Source organism: Homo sapiens, chromosome 15 (genome assembly GCF_000001405.40).
Source record: "Homo sapiens chromosome 15, GRCh38.p14 Primary Assembly".
Lineage (NCBI taxonomy): Eukaryota > Metazoa > Chordata > Mammalia > Primates > Hominidae > Homo > Homo sapiens.
In genome coordinates, this window is record NC_000015.10 from 42,633,283 (window position 1) to 42,659,257 (window position 25,975).

General features: G+C 41.5%; 1 protein-coding gene across 17 annotated transcripts in view; it reads left to right on the top strand.

Annotated features, from left to right (window-relative positions):
- Positions 1-25,975, top strand: part of STARD9 (StAR related lipid transfer domain containing 9) — a 145,393-nt gene that overhangs the window by 57,677 nt on the left and 61,741 nt on the right. For 12 of the 17 annotated variants that reach the window (XM_011521831.4, NM_020759.3, XM_011521834.4 and 9 more), the window contains 6 exons: positions 1,574-1,690; positions 4,625-4,657; positions 4,744-4,805; positions 5,418-5,530; positions 17,734-17,803; positions 19,238-19,310. In XM_011521831.4, the coding sequence (XP_011520133.1) occupies positions 1,574-1,690; positions 4,625-4,657; positions 4,744-4,805; positions 5,418-5,530; positions 17,734-17,803; positions 19,238-19,310 (468 nt within the window). Of the gene's footprint in view, positions 1-1,573; positions 1,691-4,624; positions 4,658-4,743; positions 4,806-5,417; positions 5,531-17,733; positions 17,811-19,237; positions 19,311-25,975 lie in introns of those variants that run through there. The other 5 variants (XM_011521833.3, XM_047432901.1, XM_047432902.1 and 2 more) reach the window with 3 other exon arrangements.

The window sequence follows — 25,975 nt, forward strand, 5'->3', positions numbered from 1 at the left end:
CTGAAGTTTACAAAGTTTAAGTAACTTGCCCAAGATCACACAGCTTTGAAGTATAAGAATACACTACACCTTGGAATCGTATCAGAGTTGTCACAGAATTGAAGGGAAAGTTGAAAAATGGGCAAGAAGGCATGGGATGCTAAGCAGCAGGGACCCCAGGCAGAACCATATCACAGAATCATCTGATTTGAGCACACACTTGGCACTTCTACCACTGTATGCCCAGCAGCAGTGCTATTGGATCCTTGATGCCAGCATGGACAATTTATTAACTATTCTTTATTTTTATGTCTTTCTTTCAAAATTCAAATGATAATCTAGTTGTCAAGTGACATCTAGTTGTCCGGCCCCGTTTCTTTCTTTCTTTTTTTTTTTTTTTGAGATGGAGTCTCACTCTGTCGCCTAGGCTGGAGGGCAGTGGCACGATCTCAGCTCATTGCACTTCCGCTTCCTGGGTTCAAGCGATTCTCCTGCCTCCGCTTCCCAAGTAGCTGGGATTATAGGTGCCCGCCACCATGCCTGGGTAATTTTTTGTATTTTTAGTAGAGACAGGGTTTCGCCATGTTGGCCAGGCCTGTCTCGAACTCCTGACCTCAGGTGATCCACCCACCTCATCCTCCCAAAGTGTTGGAATTACAGGCCTGAGCCACCGCGCCTGGCCCTGTCTGGCCTCATTTCATGTGCTAGTGTTGTCCTAGATGGAGAGGAATATCTGGCCTGTTTGGCTTCTATAGTAGAGCATTGAGCTGTGCTTCCCACCAAGACTGACACAACCAAAGATTCAAAGGAAGAGTATTTTGATGCTGGGCAACAATACAAAGGGTAAATATCCGCTGTACCAGCTGTGGGTATGCAGATGCCCACGTAGCATTCTGCTGAAGACTGGCTGAACTAGGAAGCTGTGCCTTCCCCATAAAGCTGGCTATTTTTTCCTGAGACCAGAGTCTGCCTAACAGAGCTCAGTAGGACTTCCAAGCAGTATACCAAGTACAGGAGTTTTCACATGAGGACCTCTGCCTATTTCTGATTCACTAAAGCAGGGGTAAATGACCAGCAGAACCAGCCAGCTCTTAGGGTCAATCTGAGGAGGGAGTGTGTAGAAAATAAATGCATGTGGAAAACACCTCCCTAACTTCTGGTCTTACTGATCTTCAGTATGGTATCCTAAGACCCTGAATTTGTATGTTATTGGGCAATATTTCACTGCAGCTTTACCTGATTAACCATATTAAATGTTTTCTTACGAGAGATACAGAATTATTTTGCTTGCATATCTTTGCTCTTCTACACTCTCTTTGCCTTAAGTTTAGAGACCATATTACTTTTGTATCTTATCTTCAGAGTCTAGTATTGTGTCTAGATACACTAGGCACTTAAAAAATTTGACCGGCTGAATGAATGAATTTTCCTTAGCTATCTTTTTATGAAGCTAAATTGATTCTTATGAAATGGTAGTGAATTAATAGTCATGTATGTTTGAAATATTTTATATTTTTTTAGATTAGAAAATAATTCTAAATCTGCTATGAGAAGAAGGACCACAGTGATATTTCCTCTGCTTTTGTTGTTACAGGTTTTCCAGGATTTAGGGATGGAAGTACTGTCTGGAGTTGCCAAAGGCTATAACATATGCCTTTTTGCTTATGGACAGACAGGCTCTGGGAAGACATATACCATGCTGGGGACCCCAGTGAGTATTACAATGATATATATTCCTAATGCCACAGCAAGCCTGAACCTTGCATTGTCCTTACTACTGTGAGACAGAATATGATTTCTGTAGGCAGTCAACTTTAAAGAAGATTGAATGAGCCTTCTTCTGTTTTAAGAATGAGTTTTTCGGCTGGGCGCAGTGGCTCACGCCTGTAATCCCAGCACTTTGGGAGGACAAGGTGGGAACCCGGGAGGCGGAGCTTGCTGTGAACTGAGATCGTGCCATTGCACTCCAGCCTGGGCAACAAGAGCAAAACTCCATCTCAAAAAAAAAAAAAAATGAGTTTTTCAGCATTTAATTGGAAGGTAACCTTTGAATAATTAACCCTTATTTATTTATTTATATATTTTTGAGACGCAGTCTTGCTCTGTCGCCGAGGCTGGAGTGCAGTGGCGCAATTTCAGTTCACTGCAAGCTCCGCCTCCCGGGTTCACGCTATTCTCCTGCCTCAGCCTCCAGAGTAGCTGGGACTACAGGCACCCGCCACCACGCTTGGCTAAGTTTTTGTATTTTTAGTAGAGACGGGGTTTCACCGTGTTAGCCAGGATGGTCTCAATCTCCTCATCTCGTGATCTGCCCGCCTCGGCCTCCCAAAGTGCTGGGATTACAGGCATGAGCCACCATGCCCGGCCTTAACCCCTCTTTATTAAACCCTGAAGAGCCTTAGAATTTTACAGCTCCCTTTGACAAAGCAGTTCTTGTCAGTCCTGCTGAATTTCTACTTATCTCCAGGTTCATTATTTGGATCTGTTTTGCACCTTTGTTGTGGACAAGACCTGGACTAAATCTTAAGTGCATGCTAGAGCTGTGCAGAGATTTGATTATTGTGGCCAAGCTCCAAGCCTACATGTGTTAGATCTGTGTGTTGGAAGAAAGCAGGAGAACTAGCTCCTGAGTCAGGGGCTTTCAAAAGTATGCAGGATTTAATGAGAGGCTTCCTTTATCACAGAAAATCAGGAGGGCAGAGTTGCTTAAGAATACCTTTTTGTTTTGGGTTTAGAAATATCCTGGTCAGGGTGCCAGGTGTAGTAGCTCACACCTATAATCTCAACACTTTGGGGTGGCTGAGGCAGAAAGATCTCTTAAGCCCAGGAATTTGAGAACAGTCTAGGCAACATAGGGAGACTCCATCTCTACAAAAAATACAAAAGTTAGCTGGGTGTGGGGGCACATCCTGTGGTCCCAGCTACTTAGGAGGCTGAGGTGGGAGGATGGCTTCAGCCTGGGAGGTTGAGGCTGCAGTGATTAGCCATGATCTTGCCACTGTACTCCACCCTGGGCAACAGAGTAAGAGACCCTGTCTCAGCTGGGTGGGGTGGCTCATTCCTGTAATACCAGCACTTTGGGAGGCTGAGGCGGGCAGATCACAAGGTCAGGAGTTCGAGGCCAGCCTGGCCAATATGGTGAAACCAAGTCTTTACTAAAAATACAAAAATTAGCCAGACATGGTGGCGTGCGCCTGTAATCCCAGCTACTTGGGAGGCTGAGGCATGAGAATCGCTTGAACCCAGGAGGGAGAGGTTGCGGTGAGCTGAGATTGTGCCATTGCACTCCAGCCTGGGAAATGGGACGAGACTTTGTCTCAAAAAAATAAATAAAAAGAGACCCTGTCTCTAAAAGTATATATGTCCTGTTAGGTGGGTAACAAATAAACACTACACAGGGACATTCTATAGGACATGATTCCTCTTAGATGATTATCCCTGATGCCTTGGGCCTAGCTCATTGCTCGCTTTGTCCTGTGTTTAGTGTGATTTCATAGTATTTGACATTAAAAGAAGAATTGGGGCTGGGCATGTTGGCTCACACCTATAATCCCAGTACTTTGGGAGGCTAAGGCAGGCGGATCACCTGAGCTCAGGAGTTCAAGACCAGCCTGGCCAACGTGGTGAAACCCCATCTCTACTAAAAATACAAATTAGCCAGGTGTGGTGGTGGGTGCCTGTACTCCCATCTACTTGGGAAGCTGAGGCAGGAGAATTCCTTGAACTCGGGAGATGGAGGTTGCAGTGAGCCGAGATCATGCCATTGCACTCCAGCCTGGGCAACAAGAGTGAAACTCCATTTCAAAAAAATAATAATTAAAAAAAAAAAAAGAAATTGGCCACTAAACGAAAAGTATAAAGCCCTTAACCGAGTACAAGTTAGCACTGGATACAAGATGGGAAAAGAAACTACCTCTTTCTAAATGTGTTTTTTTGCTGTTGTTGTTTTTGTTGTTTTGTTTTGTTTTTGAGATGGGGTCTCACTCTGTTACCCAAGCTGGAGTGCAGTGGCACGATCTCAGCTCATTGCAGCCTCTGCCTCCTGGGTTCAAGTGATCCTCCCACCTTAGCCTCCCGATTAGCTGAGACCATAGGCACACGCCACCATGCCTGGCTAATTTTTTTGTATTTTTAGTAGAGACAGGGTCTCCGCAGGTTGCCCAGGCTTGTCTCTAACTCCTGAGCTCAAGTGATCCACCCACCTCGGCCTCCCAAAGTGCTGGGATTACAGGGGTGAGCCACCACACCTGGTCTAAATGTGTATTTTGAATACTCATATACTCTTGTCCGCCTGTAAGGACTGGAGGTATAGGGGGCTGGGGGAACATTGGTAAAGTGTTTTTATCCAAGAATAATGTAATCTTCATTGCATAAAAGCAGGTATCTGGGTTTGCCGGCTTCTCCTCTTTTCCTTCTTATGGTGATACATATTCCTCTCATTTGGTACATTTCTCCCATGAGTGTCTCTCAGAGCACTGGCACATAAAAGTCTTCTATATTCCCCAGTGAAACTGCCTGGAGTGAAGAGGCTAGCACAAGGAGTCCATGCACTCATCCCCCATGCTGAGGATGGTTCCTGGGTATTCTGTGGGGGAGAGCATCATCTTAAGTAAACAATAATGCTTTCCTTTCTTCTGTTCACCAGGCCTCTGTTGGGTTGACACCACGGATATGTGAGGTATAGACTATCTTTTGGCTGGATCCTCTCAAAGTAGGTCTCTCTACAATTCCTACAATGAAACCCCAACCCTCTGGTTTGTGCAGGGTCTCTTCGTCAGGGAGAAAGACTGTGCCTCACTGCCTTCCTCCTGTAGGATAAAAGTAAGGTAAGAACCTCCCAAGCTCTGGGACCTACAGTAGTTCTTCTTCTACTCCAAATTCTACCATGTTCAGCTGTCCTCTCTTTGCTTCCAGAGTCACCACAGGGATGGAGAAAAGCCACAGAAGAAATATCTTGCAGTACAAGAGCTGAGAAAGATACTTAGGCCCTTGGTTGTAGGAAACTTAATTTCCTACCCATAGACTTAACAAGCAGGTCTTTCCTTCTGTGGCCCAACTTACCCTGGCTGTCTAGTAGCCCTTGAGATGCCTTCACAGAACAATAGAGCTCAACGGTCATGTTTGAAATTCACTCAAGAAACAACCTCTGTGGCTGGGTGCGGTGAATCTGGGAGGCGGAGGTTGCAGTGAGCCAAGATTGTGCCACTGCACTCCAACCTGTGAGACAGAGCGAGACTCTGTCTCAAAAATAAAAAATACAAAAAACTCTATTGTATATGTATGGAAAGAGAATCAAGGGGGAACCTTGGCTTGATCATTGCCTTAGAGTGTCAGAAGTGGAGCTGGAACAAGAACTAAGACCTCCTGATTTTTAGCTCAATGTTGTTTCTACTTTTTTTCAAAATATAATTATGTTGCCTTTTTCTACTTAACTCTAGTTTTCTAGAAATCTATAATGAACGGGTGCGGGATCTGTTGAAGCAATCTGGTCAAAAAAAGTCCTATACCCTGCGGGTCAGGGAGCATCCAGAGATGGGGCCCTATGTACAAGGTGAGCTACTGTGGTCCTGGAGATCTGAAACCAAACTGAAGCCTGGGAAGCTCTCCTAATGTTCCCTAATTCATTGAACATAGGTGTAATGAACACTTATCGTGTGCCAGCTACTGTACTAGACACTGAATATGTATTGATAAATAGAGAAGACGTGGTCCTGCCCTCAGGCAAGCTTACAATCTAGTGGGTGTGAGTCAGGAAACAAACAATTACAAGTAGTGATAAAGGTTAATAAATAAATGGATGTCAATGGCAAAGAACGTTGGAAAGTGTTGGTGGCCCACCTGTATGAGGTGATCAGGAAGAGCTTCTCTGAGGAGGAAACGTTTAAGCTGAGACCTGAAAGGAGTATAGTCGTGTGAAGAATGACGTAACGTGGTGAGAAGTGTTTCAGGAAGAGGGAGTGGAATGGACTAGAGCCCTGGGAGAAGGCTTGATGTTTTCAAGGGGCCAGTGTGGCTAAAGCATGGTGAATGAGAGGGAAAACTGTAGGGAATGTGGTGGGGTCTGCAGGCGCCCAATATGGCATGGCCTCTACTGGTTCCCTGGTAAACCAGTCCCCTTTCTCTGCCATTGGTGGTGGTAGTCAGACATCAGACATGGGGTAGGATTTGATGTGTTTCCTAACCAAATACTGGTGTTTGGTGCTTGGTACCATCTGTCTTATATCATTAAGGTAGGTCCTGCTATTAAGTAGCAACAGATGGGTTCTTTTATAGGCGAAGTTTTTACCCTTCCAGGCCACTTATAAGAAGTAATATATGGCCCAGGTGCAGTGGCTTACGCCTGTAATCCCAATGCTTTGGGAGGCTGAGATTGGTGAATTTGCTGGAGGTCAGGAGTTCGAGAGCAGCCTGGCCAACATGGTGAAACCTTATCTCTACTAAAAATACAAAAGATTAGCTGGGTGTGATGGCACATACCTGTAATCCCAGCTACTCGGGAGGCTGAGGCAGGATAATCACTTAAACCTGGGAGGCAGAGGTTGCAATGAGTCGAGATTGCGCAACTGCACTCCAGCCTGTGCGACAGAGCAAGACGCCATCTCAAAAAAAAAAAAAAAGTAATGTATATTTTATGTTCCTGTAGCAGTATGCTAGTTTATTTTTTATTTTTATTTTTTTAGCCACAAGGTCTTATTCTGTCACCCAAGCTGGAATGCAGTGATGCAAACATAGCTCACTGCAACCTGAACTCCTGGGCTCAAGTGATCCTTCCGCCCCAGTCTCCCAGGTAGCTAGGGCTACAGGTGTGCATCTAGGCAGCGGATTTTTAAATTTGCTGTAGAGATGGGATCTCACTATGTTGCCCAGGCTGGTCTTGAACTCCTGGCCTCAAGTGATCTTCCCACCTCAGCTTCCTAAAGTACTAGGATTATAGATGTGAGCCAGCGTGCTTGGCTGTAGTATGCTAATTTAAATCCTGATAAGGAGCGGGACATGAACATCAAGAGCCGGTCTTTTCTCTGGTCAGGGCATGGCAAATGGATGACGCAATAGGTATGCTAGTGACTGATTCTGCTACCTATGTCTTTTCCCAAATGTTTAATCATAAATAGCAGCCTAGAAACAACAACAAAAACACCATTTCCTTTGCTAGGAACCAGTTTAAGTTTGCTCTGTAAAACTCTGTGGGTATACATATCTGTGTAAAGCAATACTTTCAAGGCAGACCATGAGTTGATGCAGCAGTATCAAACTTCTCATCTTAAAAGTCTGTGTGTGGGCCGGGTGCAGTGGCTCACGCCTGTGATCCCAGCTCTTTGGGAGGCTGAGGCGGGCAGAACATGAGGTCAGGAGATTGAGACCATCCTGGCCAACATAGTGAAACCCTGTCTCTACTAAAAATTCAAAAAAATTAGCCGGGCGTGTGGCACACACCTATAGTCCCAGCTACTCGTGAGGCTGAGGCGGGAGAATCGCTTGAACCTGGAGGTGGAGGTTGCAGTGAGCCAAGATCGCGCCACTGCACTCCAGCCTGGCAACAGAGCAAGACTCCGTCTCAAAAAAAAAAAAAAAAAAAAAGTCTGTGTGTGTATGTGTGGGAGGAGTAACCATAGGAGACCTCAGACATAGTTCAGATATCCGCATTATACAGAAAACAATGAAATCTGGAGAAAGTTAAGGGTTGTTCCCAAAGTCACACAGTTAGAGTTGGGACAGAATTGAAACTGGGAAACTTGCATTGCATTGGAAGAGAAGAATGGAACAGAATCCTGTATATCAAGAACCTGGAAGGAGACCTAGGTTCCTAGATGATTTGATTGGTATAGTACCTGCAACTCAGAAAATATGACTCTTGGAAGGTCATATAGCTTGGGTCATGTGTCCAATGTCAATGACAGGATCAGGATTCAAATCTCAGGGTTCATGGTGCAAAGTTCAGGACACTTTTGGATACCTTTATGGAGTGAATCCTTGAAGGGAGGGAGGTAGGAAATACTACATTCTAAACCAATAAAAAATCTCTTAGATTCTGTGTTACAAGTTTCTTGAAGCCATTCTGGACTTTCTTAAACCATTACAAATACAGGTGGACATTTCGTTGTTTTGTTTTTTTTTAAATTATACTTTAAGTACTAGGGTACATGTGCACAATGTGCAGGGTTGTTACATATGTATGCATGTGCCATGTTGGTGTGCTGCACCCATTAACTCTTCATTTACATCGGGTATATCTCCTAATGCTTTCCCTCCCCCCACCCCACAACAGGCCCCTGTGTGTGATGTTCCCCTTCCTGTGTCCAAGTGTTCTCATTGTTCAATTCACAGGTGGACATTTCTTTTTTCTTTTCTTTTTTTTTTTTGAGACAGAGTTTTGCACTTATTGCCCAGACTGGAGTGCAATGGCGCGATCTCGGCTCACCACAGCCTCCACCTCCCAGGTTCAAGCGATTCTCCTGCCTCAGCCTCTCGAGTAGCTGGGATTACAGGCATGAGCCACCACGCCTGGCTAATTTTTTATTTTTAGTAGAGATGGGGTTTCTTCCATGTTGGTCAGGCTGGTGTTGAACTCCTGACCTAGGTGATCCACCTGCCTCGGCCTCCCAAAGTGCTGAGATTACAGGCATGAGCCACCGCGCCCGGCTGACATTTCTTAATGAAGGAGCCATGAGCTGAAATAGTATAGAACCAGCCTTGGAAGCTAGGACCCTGAGTAGTCACACTGAACTATGTTATTCTCATCATCACCCTCTGATGAGATCTTAGTAAACTTTTTTAAAAAAATGTTTTCTTTCTTTATTGATACATATATCTTATCTATCTGCCTGTCCATCTGTCTTAAGGCTTATCCATTCTGTGAATATGACTTTAAAGTGGAAAGTGGTTTCTGGCATGAAACCAATTCTACAGAAATTTATTGAGTACCTACAAGATGCCTATACTATTCCAGGTGCCATGGGAAATATGAAAATATAAGCCCTTAAAGAACTTGCAGTTCCAGTTCAGAATTGTGAGATGGACCTTGATAGCTACCTAAATCCAAAGAAAGGAAAAGAGTAGCCTTTCCATTAAAAAGTTTATTTATTAGTCGAGAGATTAAGTTGAAATCTGAAATGCACAAGGGCCTGCCCAAAGCACACATAAGAGGCCAGTGGTTATAGGATCTAAACTGATATCTAAGTGAGACAAAGACAATATTGTATTTTTACTGTGGCCTTTATTTTAATATAAAGGTACAGGTGCAAACCAAGAAGCAGGTAGTTGGAACTTGAGAAAAATTCTGTATTTCCTGTGTACTCAATCTATAAGTCACAGGAGTTTCCCCCCAACCCCAACCATTTAGTTCTTGTGCCTTTTTTTTCTTGCCTTTCTGCATAAACTAGGACCTCTAGTACAATAGTAAATAAAAGTGGTGACAGTCTTGTTCTCAGAGGAAAGCTTCACCATTTTACCATTAAGTAATATATTTGCAATAGTGATTGTTTTTAATAGATATTCTATATGCTTCTCAAACTGTAGTGAAGGACCAGTTTTTTTTGTGGTGGTGTTTTTGTTTTTGGATCAGAGTCTCACACTGTCATCCAGGCCGGAGTGCAGTGGCACGATCGTGACTCACTGCAGCCTCAAACTCCTGGACTCAGGCAGTCCTCCTACCTCAGCCTCCCAAGTAGCTGATACTACAGACATGTGCCATCATGCCCAGCTAATTGTTTTTTATTTTTTCTTTTAGAGATGGAGTCTAGCTATGTTGCCCAGGTTAGAAGAACCAGTTTTTTTTTTTTTTAATTCCAATCTTTGGTATACTAATACATTTATAAAATAAAATAAGGATGAATTACTAGAAAAAATTAAAGGAATATCTTAATTACAAGCCCCAAATCTTCTTTACTAGATTCAACAGATATAAAATTACTTTATCAAAGTTACCCTTTTATTGTTTTTGGTTTTGTTTTTTTGAGACGGAGTCTTGCTTTGTCACCCAGGCTGGAGCGCAGTGGTAGGATCTCAGCTCACTGCAACCTCTGCCTTCCAAGTTTGAGTAATTCTGCTGCCTCAGCCTCCTGAGTAGCTGGGATTACAGGCACACACCACCATGCCTGGCTAATTTTGGATTTTTAGTAGAGACGGGGTTTCACCATATTGGTCAGGCTGGTCTCGAACTCCTGACCTCAGGTGATCCACCTGCCTTGGCCTCCCAAAGTGTTGGGATTACAGGCGTGAGCCACTGTGCCCGGCCCCTCGTTCTTTTTAAAAAAAAACAGAGTCTCGCTCTGTCGCCCAGGCTGGAGTGGCACGATCTTGGGTCACTGCAACCTCTGCCTCCCGGGTTCAAGCGATTCTCCTGCCTCGGCTGAGGCAGCTAGTCCTGACTAGCTGGGACTACAGATGTGCACCACCACGCCCAGCTAATTTTTGTATTTTAGTAGAGGTGGGGTTTCACCATGTTGGCCAAGATGTCAAACTCCTGACCTTGTGATCTGCCTGCCTTGGCCACCTCTTTTGTAGTATATTTATTTATAGCTATAAATTTCCTTGTAAGCATGACTTTAGCTGTATTGCACCAGTTTTAATGTGTAGTATTTTCATCATCAATCAGTTTAAAGTATATATAATTTCCAATATGATTTCTTTTGACTCATGGATTTAGAAGTGTGTTTCTTTATTTTTTAACACTCAGGGATTTTCTAGTTGTATTTTTGTTATAGGTATCTAGTTTAATAGTATTGAGTTCAGAGAACATGCTCCACATAATTTCACCTAAAACAACATGTATACAGACATGCTTTGGATATATTTGGTTTGATTCCAGACCACCACAATAAAGTATCACAATAAAGCAAAAATCAAAATAAAAACACAAATGTTTTGGTTTCCCAGTGCATATAAAAGTTATATTTATGCTATATTTTATTAAGTACGAAGTAGCATTATGTATTAAAAATGTACATACTTGGCCGGGCATGGCGGCTCACGCCTGTAATCCCAGCACTTTGGGAGGCTGAGGCAGGCAGATCACAAGGTCAGGAGATAGAGACCATCCTGGCTAACATGGTGAAACCCCGTCTCTACTGAAAATACAAAAAATTAGCCGGGTGTGGTGGCGGGCACCTGTAGTCCCAGCTATTCGGGAGGCTGAGGCAGGAGAATGGCATGAACCCGGGAGGCAGAGATTGCAGTGAGCCAGGATCACGCCACTGCACTCCAGCCTGGGTGACAGAGTGAGACTCCGTCTAAAAAAAAAAAAAATGTACATACATTAATTTAAAAATACTTTATTGCTAAAAAATGCTAGTGGTTACCTGAGCCTTCAGTGAGTCATAATCTCTTTGCTGGTGCAGGATTTTTTCTTAGTGATGATGGCGGCTGACTGATCAGGATAGTGATTGCTGAAGGTTGGGATGGCTGTGGCAATTTCTTAAAACAACTTATGGAGTTTGTTACATCAATTGACTCTTCCTTTCATGAAAAATTTTTCTGTAGTGTGAAATGCTGTTTGATAGCATTTTACTCACAATAGAACTTATTTCAGAGCTGGAGTCAGTCCTCTTAAATCCTGACACTCTTTTATCAACTAAGTTTATATAATATTCTGTTTCATTTTTTTGTCATTTCACACAGCATCTTCACCAGGAGTAGGTTCCATCTCAAGAAACCACTTTCTCTGCTCATCCATAAGAAGCAACTCATCATCCATTCAAATTTGATCCTGAGATTGTGGCAATTCAGTCACATCTTCAGGCTCCACTTCTCATTCTACTTCTCTTGATAGTTCCACCACTCTGGAATTACTTCCTCTACCAAAGTCTTGAACCCCTTAAAGTCATTCATGAGGGTTGGAACCAACTTATTCCAAACCCCTCAATGTTGATATTTTGAGCTCCTCTCATGAGTCATGAATGTCCTTAATGCCATCTAAAACGGTGAATTCTTTCTGGAAAGTTTTCAATAGACTTTGCCCAGATCCATCAGAGGAATCACTGTGACAACTATAGCTTTATGAAATGTATTTCTTAAATTATCAGACTTCAAAGTTGAAATGATTCCTTGGTCCATTGGCCATAGAACAGATGTTATGTTAGCAAGCATGAAAAGAACATTAGCTTCTTGTACGTCTCCATCAGAGCCCTTGGGTGACCAGGCACACTGTCAATGAGCAGTAATATTTTGAAAATAATCTTTTTTTCTGAGCAGTAGTTCTCAACAGTGGGCTTACTGTAAGCAGATACGCTGTCATCCAGGCTTTATGGTTCCATTTATAGGGCACAGGCAGAGTAGATTTAGCATGATTCTTAAGGGCCCTAGGATTTTTTTTTTTTTTTTGAGAGAGGGAGGGTCTTGCTCTGTCACCCAGTCTGGAGTGCAGTGGCGTGATCACAGCTCACTGCAGCCTCAACTTCCCAGGCTCATGTGATTCATTTTCCCACCCATGCGCTACCATACCTGGCTAATTTTTTGTGTATTTTGTGGAGACAGGGTTTCACCATGTTGCCCAGGCTGGTCTTGAACTTGTGGGCTCAAGAGATCCACCTGCCTTGGCCTCCCAAAGTTCTGGGATTACAGCTGTGAGTCACCGCGCCCAGCCTGGCCTTAGGATTTTCAGAGTGATAATGGCTTCAATTTAAAGTCATGGTGGCTCATGCCTGTAATCCCAGCACTTTGGGAGGTTGAGGTGGGTGGATCACCTGAGGTCAGGAGTTCGAGACCAGCCTGGCCAACGTGGTGAAACCCCCATATCTACTAAAAATACAAAAATTAGCCAGACGTGGTGGCTGGTGCCTGTAATTCCAGCTACTCGGGAGGCTAAGGCAGGAGAATCACTTGAACCCAGAAGGCAGAGGTTGCAGTGAGCCGAGATTGTGCCACTGCACTCTGGCCTGGTGAACAAGAGTGAAACTCCGTCTCAACAACAACAACAACAATAATAATAATGATAATAATAATAATAAAATAAAGTCACCAGTTGCATTAGCCCCTAACAGGAGAATCGGCCTGTCCTTTGAAGCTTTGAAACCAGACATTGGCTGCTGCTTTCTAGCTATAAAAATCCTAGATGACACCTTTTTCCAATGGAAGCCTGATTTGTCTACATTGAAATTCTGTTGTTTAGTGTAGCTACCTTCATTATCTTAGCTTTAGCTATATCTTTTGGATAACTTATTACAGCTTCTCCGTCAGCACTTGCTTGCTTCACCTTGCACTTAAATGTTACTGAGAAGCTTCTTTCCTTAAACCTCATGAACCACCCTCTGCCAGCTCCAACTTTTCTTCTGCAGCTTCTTCACTTCTCTCAGCCTTCATAGCATTGAAGGGAATCAGGGCTTTGCTCTGGATTAGTCTCTGGCTTAGGAGAATGTTGTGATGGTTTGATCTTCTAACCATACTGTAAAAACTTTCTTCATATCAGCAAGAAGGCTGTTTTGTTTTCTTATCGTTCATGTGTTCACGGAGTAGCACTTTTAATTTCCTTCAAGAACTTTTCCTTTGCATTCACAGCCTGGCCAACTGTTGGGCGCAAGAGGCCTAGCTTTCAGCCTTTCTTGGCTTTCGACATGCCTTCCTTGCTAAACTTCAGCGTTTCTAGCTTTTGATTTAAAATGAGAGACTCTTTCACTTGGACACTTAAAGGCCATTGTAGGGTTATTGGCCTCATTTCAATATTGTTGTGTCTCAGGGAATAGGGAGGCCTGAGTAGAGGGAGAAAGGTAGGGGAAAGGTTGGCTGGTGGAGCAGTCAGAACATATACATTTATCAATTAAGTTCGCTTTTCTATACGATTCTTGGTGTACCAACACAATTATAATAGTAACATCAAAGATTACTGGTCACAGATCATCATAACAGATATAATAATAATGAAAAAGCTTCAAATATGTATAGCACAGTTTGATTTGTAGCCTAGCACATTGGCCAGTTTTTGTAAATTTTCCATGTATGCTTGAAGAGAATATGTATTATACAATTGTTGGGCATAGTGTTTATATATTACTATTTATCAGGTTTGATACTTGTTCAAATCTTCTGTACCCCTATTGATTTTATTTTTCCACTTGTTTTAACAGATACTAAGAAATGCAAGTTAAACTTTCCTACTATGAGTATGGATGCCTTTTTCTCCTTTTAATTCTGCCAATTTTTGTTTTATATATTTTGAGGCTTTATTATTACATGCATACAAAATTAGAATTGTTAAAACTTCCTGGTTCATTGAACACTTTTTTCATTGTGAAGGATTTTTCTTTATCTCTAATAATGCTTTTACTTTAAAGTCTACTTTGTCAGGCATTAACGAAACTAGCTTTCTTTGTGTTATTGTTTGTATTTTTATCTTCTTTTCTACTTTTACTTTCAGTTTTCTATGTATGTTTCAGATGTGTTTTTTATTTTAAAAAATTTTCCTTTTGCTTTGTTTTACCTTTGTTTCATCACAGTTTTGGTCTTTTAATTTGGTATTGTGGTCTGCTTGTATTTAATGTAATCACTGATTTTATTTGGGTTTAAATCTGTTATTTTGTGTTTTCTCTTTACTTTTCCTGTTTTATGTTCCTTTTTCGTTACTTTGTCTTTTGGTTTGATAACTTTAAAAAATTATTCCATATTCCTTCTCCACTAGCTTATTATTTACACATTGTCTTACTATTTTGGTGGTTACTCCAGAGATTACAACATAGACCATTGATTTATCAAAGTCTAATATTTACTGGTTGTTCTGCTTCTTCCCAGACAATAAACCTTTTGGACCTTATAAGACTTGAACTCAGTTTGTCCCTTCTTGACTTAAATGCCATTTTTAGGGCTCTTAATTTTTAAAGAATATCCTACCTTTTATCTCTGAGTGCCTTCTACTTCAAGAATAATCTTGTTTTCCCTCTAGTGTGGATCTGCTATTGACAAGTTCTCTTTTGGCTTTTTGTTTGTTTGTTTGAGATGGAGTCTTGCTCTGTCACCCAGGTTAGAGTGCAGTGGCGCGATCTCGGCTCACTGCAACCTCCGCCTCCTGGGTTTGAGCAATTCTCCTGCCTCAGCTTCCCGAGTAGCTGGGATTACAGGCACATGCTACCGTGCCCAGCTAATTTTTGTACTCTTAGTAGAGATGGGGTTTCACCATGTTGGCCAGGCTGATCTTGAACTCCTGACCGAAAGTAATCCACTGGCCTCGGCCTCCCAAAGTGCTGGGATTACAGGCATGAGCCCCCATACCCAGCCTGCTTTTCTTGTTCTTGAAGGTAAAGTTCACTGAGTACAGAATTTTAAATTGATGGTTATTTTCTTTTAGTCATTAAAAATTATACCATTCTCTTCTGCTTTCCACTGTTTTTGCTGAGAAGTCATCTCCTAGTCTAATTTTTTCAATATTTTTACTTTTGTCTTTGAACAGTTTATTATGGTCTACTTATGGGTAGATTTAGGTTTTTAAAAAATCATGCTGGGATTCTTGAATTGTGCTTTTGTATCTTCTTATCAGTTTTGGAAAGTTCTTAGCCATTACCTTTCCCTTTTTTCCCCCCTTCCCTCCACTACCATTACCTCTTATAATAATCCTTCTATCCCATTCTTTCCTCTTCTTTTGGGACTCTAATTACAGGTATGTTAAGGCCTATTGCCTGTATACTCTGTGAGTCTTACCATTTCTTCTATATTTAATTAATTAATTTATTTATTAGACATGAAGTCTTGCTAATGTTGCCCAGACTGGTTTTGGACTCCTGGGCTCAAGGGATCCTCCTGCCTCAGCCTCCCAAGTAGCTGAGATTACAGGTGTGCACACCTAGCCTCCATTTTTTTTTCTTTGAGATGGAGCCTCGCTGTGTTGCCCAGGCTGGAGTGCAATGGCGCAATCTCAGCTCACTGCAACCTCCACCTCCTGGGTTCAAGCGATTCTCTTGCCTTAGCCTCCCGAGTAGCTGGGATTACAGTCGCGCACCACCACAGCCGGCTGATTTTTGTATTTTCATGAGAGACGGGGTTTTACCACGTTGGTCAGGCTGGTCTTGAACTCCTGACCTCATGATCCACCCGCCTCAGCCTCCCAAAGTGTTGGGATTACAGGCGTGAGCCACTGCACCCGGCTCCCTCCATATTTTTAATCTTTTGTCTCTCTGTGCTAAATTTTGAGTATGTTTCTGATCTATCTTCCTGCTCACTCATTCTTTCTTCAGCTATGTCTAACCTGCTATTAAACTTTATATTGAGTTTTTATTTTCACTTACAGTATTATTTCTCAGATATCCATTTTATTATTTCATTATAGTTTCCAAGTTTACAATCTTGTCTTTAAACTCCTTGAAAATATTAAGCAGAGTTACTTTTTTTTTTTTTTGAAACGAAGTTTTGCTCTTATCGCCCAGGCTGGGGTGCAATGGTGAGATCTTAGCTCACTGCAACCTCTGCCTCCTAGGTCCAAGTGATTCTCCTGCCCCAGCCTCCTGAGTAGCTTGGACTATAGGCTCCCGCTACCATGTCCAGCTAATTTTTTGTATTTTTAGTCGAGGTGGGGTTTCACCATCTTGGCCAGGCTGGTCTTGGAACTCCTGACCTCATGATCTACCTGCCTTGGGCTCCCAAAGTAGTACTGGGATTACAGGCATGAGGCACCGAGCCTGGCCTTTTTTTTTTTTTTTTTTTTTGAGATGGAGTTTCGCTCTTGTTGCCGAGGCTGGAGTGCAATGGCGCGATCTCGACTCTCCACAACCTCCGCCTCCCAGGTTCAAGGGATTCTCCTGTCTCAGCCTCCCGAGTAGCTGGGATTACAGGCATGCACCAACACACCCAGCTAATTTTGCATTTTTAGCAGAGACAGGGTTTCTCCATGTTCGCCAGGCTAGTCTCAAACTCCTGACCTCAGGCCCGCCCGCCTCGGCCTCCCAAAGTGCTGGGATTACAGGCATGAACCACAGTGCCCAGCCTTCAGGGTTACTTTTAAGTCGGCCTGGTAGCTTCAGTATCTGGGTCTTTCTTGGATTGCTTTCTATTGACTATTATTTTTGTTGGTTTCATTTATGTTACTTTGTTATTTTGGGTGTAATTGTATTTAGCAATAAGCCCATGAAGTTACTTTGTTTTTGAATCTCTCATACAGAGATTCTCTGGAACAGTTGGGAAGGCCTTTGGGACTTGGTCAGTAACCAGCCATGAAGATTTACTTTCATGCCCGTAGGCTCCTCTTCACCTATCTAAAGCCTCCCCATTCTATAGTGGCTAAATTTAAGTCTCACTTCTTCTGTGGAACCTGTCCTGACCACGCCTCTGATCTCCTCATCATGTATCATCTTTCCAACTCCTGTGGCACTTGGCCATATTGTCTTGTGTAGTGTAACTTACCATGATTGTAAACTGTGGGAGGACAGAGATGAGTGTACTGTGTATTTTGTATGCCAAACCGAGTCTGCCACCTTGTGGGGAAAACAACACTGGCCTACCTCAGGGACTTTGTGAGGGCCAAATGAGAACAGTTCTTATAACCTATATAGCAGAACTGTAAGGAATTATAGTTGTTGTTAGCATATGGTCTATATGACTTATAGACCATAATCTCTGTGAGGACAGAGACCTATATTCCTAGAGTCTATCATATACCTGACAAGAGGTTTCCAATAAATATTTCTTGATTTAATTTATTATCTGAATGAATTTGGCCAGATTCCCTCATTTTTGTCTATTAAACAATATGAAATAGGAATGATAAAGACTTACAAGAAAAGGTTAAAGTTTACCAAAAATCTCATTTAATTTCTTTTTTCCGTTTCACAAATCCGATAGGTTTATCTCAACATGTAGTTACCAATTATAAGCAAGTAATCCAACTCTTGGAGGAGGGAATTGCAAACAGGTAACAGGTTTGTTTGTTTCTGTCATTCTTTTATCCTCACACTCCTATCCTGTGTTCCCATTTCCCTTTGGGGAGTGTATAATGACACTTAAAATTGTCTCTGTGTGTAGAGATGTTCACAACCAGGAGGCTCTTCCCAGAACAATAGTGTTCACAGGGTAAGGGGTGGTGACTAAGATTTAGTCTCTTCTCACTAGTAATGAAGCTGGAATCTGTTCTGGACATAATAATATTAGGCAGTAAGCCCAAGGAAGTTACTCTATATTTTGTTTAGAGCTTCTAAATTTGGAAGAAAGGGTTCTTACCTGCATTGTCCTCTCCTCAGGTTTGATAGATATAAGGATGAATATAGTGTAAAAGGTTCATAAAAACATTTTTTTCTAGTTTTGCATACTTATAAGGTAGCCCCTCAAAAGACTGTTTTGAATCTGCTATGAATAACTAGGTGCTGTAGATTCCCCTAAAAGCTATTGTAAATTGTAATAACATTTCATGTTGTAAGTTACTATGAAATACCTAGAATATTACTAGTAAATGTCCCTAAAAAAGGCTTTTTTTTTCTGGGGTAAAAAGGTCTTTAGAGCCTTCTATTTATCCTGTTAATAGCAGGACCAAGTTAATTGAACATAAAGGAAGAAATTTAAATTTAACATTCTCCTGAGCTTCATGGAACTCTCCTGGAGACACTTACTTCTGGTCTTCAGGGTACCCTGAGCTCCATGATTTTTCAGTGTCAGGCTTGAATCATGAGACTAGCCTCTAGATTTTGGCCCTTTTCTTCAATTCTCCAGATCCTCTGAGAACAGAGCTCAGTGAGATGCTCTTAGATAAAGGAAAACCTCTCCTGACTTTAAGGGTTAACACTGTAATGGATTTCTAAGGGAGACTGTGAATTCCGCCTGGCTTAAGCATGATATTGATGTGATTTAAGATCTCATTTCCAAGATCTTTCTGACACTGTAGAATTAATATTCTGTGTTTAATCAAAACTTACCTTCTCTGTCTTTGAGGTATCTTCTCTAGCAAGCTTTCTACATCCACTTGTCTTATTAAAATGACTCCAAGAATAAAATAAAATAAAGTGAAAGAATAAAATAAAATGGGTCTATCTTGGGCATGTTCTTCCAGGATGATGACGCTCTAGTCTTCATTTCCCTTTTCACTTGAATTTTTGCTTCTATTGCTTAAAAAAAAAAAGTTTCAGTGTAGTTTAGTATGAAGCTACACTCCGTTTTATGCTCAGATATCAGCACCTAGAGTGCTGCTTCTGCCCTCTTTGGACTATTCTCTTCACGATACTGGACTAAATATGTGTGTTTTATGATTCTTGTCGGTGAACCTCAGCACTAACATTTCTTGTATTCTGTATGGATCCTTAAGAATCCACCATGTGTAAACAATCCTCGTCCTAACAGTTTTTCCTTGTATACACAGAATCACAGCAGCCACCCATGTTCATGAGGCCAGCAGCAGATCCCACGCCATTTTCACGATCCACTACACGCAGGTTGGTAACTCCTTATGTTTGGTGAGATTTCTTCCTCTCCTTGTACCTTTAAACCACTTTCTTGTCTTCCTTCCTATTTCTTTTTTTGTTTGTTGGTTTTTGAGACAGGGTCTCAGTCTGTTGCCCAGACTGGAGTGCAGTGGCGCGATCTCGGCTCACCTGAACCTCTGCCTCCCAGGCTCAAACAATTCTCCTGCCTCAGCCTCCCAAATAGCTGGGATTACAGGAGACGCCACCATGCCCGGCTAATTATTTTTTAATTTTTAGTAAAGACGGGGTTTCACCATGTTGGCCAGACTGGTCTCAAACTCCTGACCTCAGATGATCCACCTGGCTCGGCCTGCCTAAGTGCTGGCATTACAGATGGGAGCCATCGTTCCCGGCCCTGTTTCTTTTCCTTTCCTCCTACTCTCATATTTATAGGTCCTCTGATAGAACCTAATATTGTAAACCGGATTTACACACAATCCGTTAAGCTATACACCTAGAATGGGTAGAAGCATTTTATAAAGACTAATCAAAATATCTTCTGCTTATATTTATTTTTAACATTTTAAAACGCTTTCACATCGGTGTGATCAGTATGGACATTTAAAACAAAAGGTTGAAAAGAAAATAAGCATTAAAATGAAATATTAGAAGATTCACTTCCATTGTGATGGATTGAGGAGGTCAAGTCATATCCCCAAAAAGCAACTATAAAGCTGGACAAAATCCTTTCTGTGGTCTGAAAATAGATTAAAGGAATGTAACAAAGTGAGAAGTACCACACCCAAAATAAAATGATGACTAAAAACTTCCTAAATTTGTTGAAAATCATTTATAGATCTAAGAAGCTCAAAGGACTCCAAGTAAAATAAACACAAAGAGATCCACACCTAGACACATCATAGTTAAACTGTTGAAAGACAAAGAGAAAATCTTAAAAACAGCTAGAGAAAAGTGACTTATACAGTAGAACAATTACGTGATGAATGGCTGACTTCTCATCAGAAGCATTGAACCCTTAGAAGTCAGGGGGCTGAGATAATATAAAAAACTGGCAATAAGAACATTCCCAGATTGGAAAAATAAAAAGTAGAATTTATTGCCAGCAGACTTACCTGACAAGAAAACTAAATGAAATCTTCTAGGCTGAAAGAAAGTGATATTAGAAAGTATCTTAAATCTATAGGAGACAGTGAAATATCTGGGAATGATAAATGTGTGAGTAAATATAAAAAAAACCTACATTCTTTCTCGTTTCTTCTCCTAATGTCAATAAAAGAATAAGATTACATAAAACCACAATTGTAACAATGCATTTTTGTACATTGTCATATATGAAAATAACAGCACAAGGGAAATGAAAGGAGATATATTTAAGTAGAGTTACTATATTTTACAGGAATTAAGTTAGTATTATTTTAAAGTAGATCATAAATAAAGATATGTATTGTAATCTGTAGAGCAAGTACTAAGAAAATAGCTCAAAAATACAATTTTAAAAATCAACATTTCTTCTGCCTCCTCTGGGCAGAAAAAACAACAGAAATTAAAATGGTACATATTAATAAAAATACCTAACAGTTAAAGGCAGTGGAGGAAGAACAGAGGAACAAAGGAGATATGAGACACAGAAAAAAGAAAAATCAGACATGGATGGTTCTGAGCACATCAATAATTATTAAATACATTAAGTGTGAATTGCCTAAGGTACAAATTTTCAGATTGCATAAAAGCAAGACCCAACTACATGCTGTCTATAAGAAACACACCTTAGAATCACAGACACAGGTTGAAAGTAAAAGGATGGAAAAAGATATACCATAATAATAGTAACCATAAGTCCTAGCTAGAGTAATGAGACAAGAGAAAGAAATAAAGGGCATCCAGATCAGTAAAGAGGAAGTCAAACTGTTGCTGTTCGCTGACAACATGATTGTATACCTAGAAAACCCTAAAGACTTATCCAAAGAGCTCCTGGAACTGGTAAATGAATTCAGCGAAGTTTCAAGATACAAAATTAATGTACATGAATCAGTAGCTGTGCTATACACCAGCAGCAGACAAGCTGAGAATCAAATCAAGAACTCAACATTTTTTACAATAGCTGAAAAAAAAAAATACTTAGGCATACACTTAACCAAGGAGGTGAAAGACCTGTACAAGAAGAACTACAAAACACCGCTGAAAGAAATCATATATGACACAAACAAATGGAAACATATCTCATGCTCATGGATGGGTAGAATCAGTATTGTGAAAATGGCCATACTGCCTAAAGCAGTCTACAAATTCAATGCAATCCCCATCAAAATACCACCATCATTCTTCACAGAACTAGAAAAGACAGTCCTAAAATTCATATGGAACCAAAAAAGAGCCCACATAGCCAAAGCAAGACTAAGCAAAAAGAACAAATCTGGGCCAGGCGCAGTGGCTCATGCCTGTAATCCCAGCACTTTGGGAGGCCGAGGCAGGCGGATCACTTGAGGTCAGGAGTTTGAGACCAGCCTGGCCAACATGGTGAAACCCCTCTCTACTAAAAATAGAAAAAATTAGCTGGGCGTGATGGCAGGCACCTGTAATCCCAGCTATTCGGGAGGCTGAGGCAGGAGAATTGCTTGAACCTGGGAGGCAGAGGTTGCAGTGAGCTGAGATCACACCGCTGCACTCCAGCCTGGGCAACAGAGTGAGACTTCGTCTCAAAAACAACAACAAAACCAAATCTGGATGCATTACATTACCCAACTTCAAACTATACTATAAGGCCAATAGTTACCAAAACAGCATGGTACTGGGACAAAAACAGGCATATAGACCAATGGAACAGAATAGAAAATGCAGAAATAAAGCCAAATACTTGCAGTCAACCGATCTTTGACAAAGCAAACAAAAACGTAAAGTGGGGAAAGGACACCCTATTCAACAAATGGTGCTGGGATAATTGGCAAGCCACATGTAAGAGAATGACACTGGATCCTCATCTCCCACATTATACAAAAATCAACTCAAGATAGATGAAAGACTTACATATAAGACCTGAAACCATAAAAATTCTAGAAGATAACATTGGAAAAATCCTTCTAGACATTGGCTTAGGCAAAGACTTCATGAGCAAGAATCCAAAAGCAAATGCAACAAAAACAAAGAGAAATAGATGGGACTTAAATAAAACAAAAATCTTCTGCACAGCAAAAGAAATAATCAGCAAACAGCCCACAGAGTGGGAGAAAATATTTGCAATCTATGCATCCTACGAAGGACTAATATCCAGACTCTACAAGGAACTCAAACAAATCAGCAAGAAAAAAACAGTCCCATCAAAAAGTGGGCTAAGGACATGAATAAACAGTTCTCAAAAGAAGATATACAAATGGCAACAAACATAGGAAAAAAATGCTCAACATCACTGATTATCAGGGAAATGCAAATCAAAATCACAATGCAATACCACCTTACTCCTGCAAGAATGGCCATAATAAAAAAATCCAAAAAGAGGCTGGGTCAGTGGCTCACGCCTGTAATCCCAGCACTTTGGGAGTCTGAGGCAGGTGGATCACCTGAGGTCAGGTGTTCAAGACCAGCCTGGCCCACATGGCGAAATGCTGTATCTACTAAAAATAAAAAAATTTGCTGTTGCGCTCCTGTAGTCCCAGCTACTCACGAGGCTGAAGCTGGAGAATTGCTTGAACCTGGGAGGCAGAGGTTGCAGTGAGCCGAGATCATGCCACTGCACTCCAGCCATCTCCTAAAAAAAAAAAAAAAAAAAAAAAAAAAAAAAAAAAAAAAAGATGTTGCCGTGGATATGGTGAAAAGGGAACGCTTTTACACTGTTGATGGGAATATAAACTAGTATCACCATTATGGAAAACAGTGTGGAGATTCCTTAAAGAACTACAGGTAGATTTACCCAGAGGAAAAGAAGTCGTTATATGAAAAAGATACTTGCACATGCATGTTTTAGCAGCACAATTCACATTTGCAAAAATACAGAACCAGCCCAAATGTCCGTCAATGAGTGGTTAAAGAAAATGTGGTGTATGTATACTGTGGAATACATTCAGCCGTGAAAAGGCACCAAATAATAGCATTTGCAGCAACCTGGATGGAATTGGAGACCATTATTCTAAGTTAAGTGTCTCAGGAATGGAAAACCAAACGTATCTTCTCACTCATAAATGGGAGCTAAACTATGAGGACACAAAGGCATAAGAATGATACAAAGGCATAAGGACACATAGGCATAAGGACGCAACAGCATAAGAATGAACTTTGGGGACTTGTGGGAAAGGGGGGTGAGGGATAAAAGACTACACATTGGGTACAGGGTACACTGTTTGGGTGATGGGTGCACCAATATTTCAGAAATCACCACTAAAGAACTTATTCATGTAACCAGACACCATCTGTTCCTCCAAAACCTATTGAAATTTTTAAAAAAGTAAGCATAAGAGAGCTGGAGTGGTATTTTAATGTCAGGCAAAAAATAGGTTTTAAGGCTGGGCGTGGTGGCTCAAGCCTGTAATCCCAGCACTTTGGGAAGCCGAGGTGGATGGATCGCCTGACGTTAGGAGTTTGAGACCAGCCTGGCCAACATGGTGAAACCCCGTCTCTACTAAAAATACAAAAAAAATTAGCCAGGCATGGTGGTGAGCGCTTGTAGTCCCAGCTACTCAGAAGGCTGAGGCAGGAGAATCACTTGAATCCAGGAGGCAGAGGTTGCAGTGAGCTGAGATCGTACCATCACACTCCAGCCTGGGCAACAAGAGTGAGATTCCGTCTCAAAAAAAAAAAAAAAGGTTTTAAGACAAATACTAGAGACAGGAATATTTCATAATGATAAAGGGTCAGTCAGTACATTGAAGAAATACAACATTTATAAATGTATGCACCCTGAACAACCAAACCTCAAAATACATGAAAACACTGATGGAATTGAAAGATTAAAATAGACAGTTCAACAATGGTTGGATATTTCAGTACCTAATTTCCAGTAGTAGGTAGATAACCAAACAGAAATCAGTGAGGAAATAGAAGATTTGAGCAACATTATCAAACTATGTGACCTGACATTTTCAGAACACTTCATCCAACATCACAGAATACACATATTTTCAAGTGCACACGGAGCATTCTCTGAGATAAACCCTATGCTTCCTGAAGCTAAAGTAACCAAGATAGTGTGGTGTTAGTGTTAAGATAAATAGATTACTGGAATAGAATAGAGTCCAAAATAGACTCACACATATATAGGCAACTGATTTTTAATAAAGTTGCAAAGGCAATTCAGTGGAGAAAATATGTTTTCAGCAAATGGTGGGAGAACAATTGGATGTCTATATGAAAAAAAGAACTTTGATCTATATTTTGCACTTTATCGAAAAGTTAACTCATATTGAATCATAGCTCTAAATGGGAAACCTGAAACTATTAAACTTTAGAACATAACTTAGGAGAACCTTTGTGATTCTTGATTAGGCGAAGGTTTTATAGATATGGCACTAAAAACACAAATTGAACAGAAGTACAAATTGAAATCGAGTTAATCACAATTTCAAACTTTTGTACTTTTATAATTTTTTTTTGAGACAGGGTCACACTCTGTCACCCAGGCTAGAGTGCAGTGGCACAATCATGGCTCACTGCAGCCTCAACCTCCCGGGCTCAAGTGATCCTCCCACCTCAGCCTCCCAAGTAGCTGGGACTTACAGGTGTGTGTGTGTGTGTGTGTGTGTGTGTGTACACTTACAGTGTACAAAATAACTTTTGTATTTTTTTTGTAGAGACAAGGTCTCGTTATGTTGCCCAGGCTGGTCTTAAATCCCTAGGCTCAAGTGATCCTCCTGTCTCAGCCTCCCAAAATGCTGGGATTACAGGCATGACCCACCATGCCTGGCCTTTTGCACTTTTTTTTTTTTTTAATGAGACTGATTCTTGCTCTGTCACCCAGGCTGGAGCACAGTGGCACAATCTTGACTCATTGCAACCTCCACCTCCCGGGTTCAAGTGATTCTCCTGCCTCAGCCACCTAAGTAGCTGGGATTACAGGCACGCATTACCATGCCTGGCTAATTTTTGTATTTTTAGTAGAGACGGGGTTTCACCGTGTCGGCCAGGCTGGTCTTGAACTCCTGATCTCAAGCAATCCAGTTTGCCTCTGCCTCCCAAAGTGCTGGGATTACAGGCATAAGCCACCGTGCCTGGCCCCTTTTGCACTTTTAAAGACATTATTAGGAGAATAAAAAGAAAAGCAGGCCAGGTGTGGTGGTTCATGCCTGTAATCCCACCACTTTGGGAGGCCAAGGTGGGTGGATCACTTGAGATCGGGGGTCGAGACCAGCCTAGCCAAGATGGTGAAAACCCTGTCTCTACTAAAAATACAAAAATTAGCCAGGCTTGGTGGCTTGCACCTGTAATCCCAGCTGCTCAGGAGGCTGAGGCAGGAGAATTGCTTGAACCCAGCAGGCAGAGGTTGCAGTGAGCCAAGATCGTGCCACTGCACTTCAGCCTAGGTGACACAGCAAGACTCCCTCGAAAGAAAGAAAGAGAGAAAAGAAGAAGGAAAGAAGGAAAAGCAACAGATAGGTAGAACTTTTTTGCTAAACATACATCTGATGGAGGAATTATATCCAGAATATATAAAGAACTCTCTAAACACCGTAAGAAAACAACTCAAAACA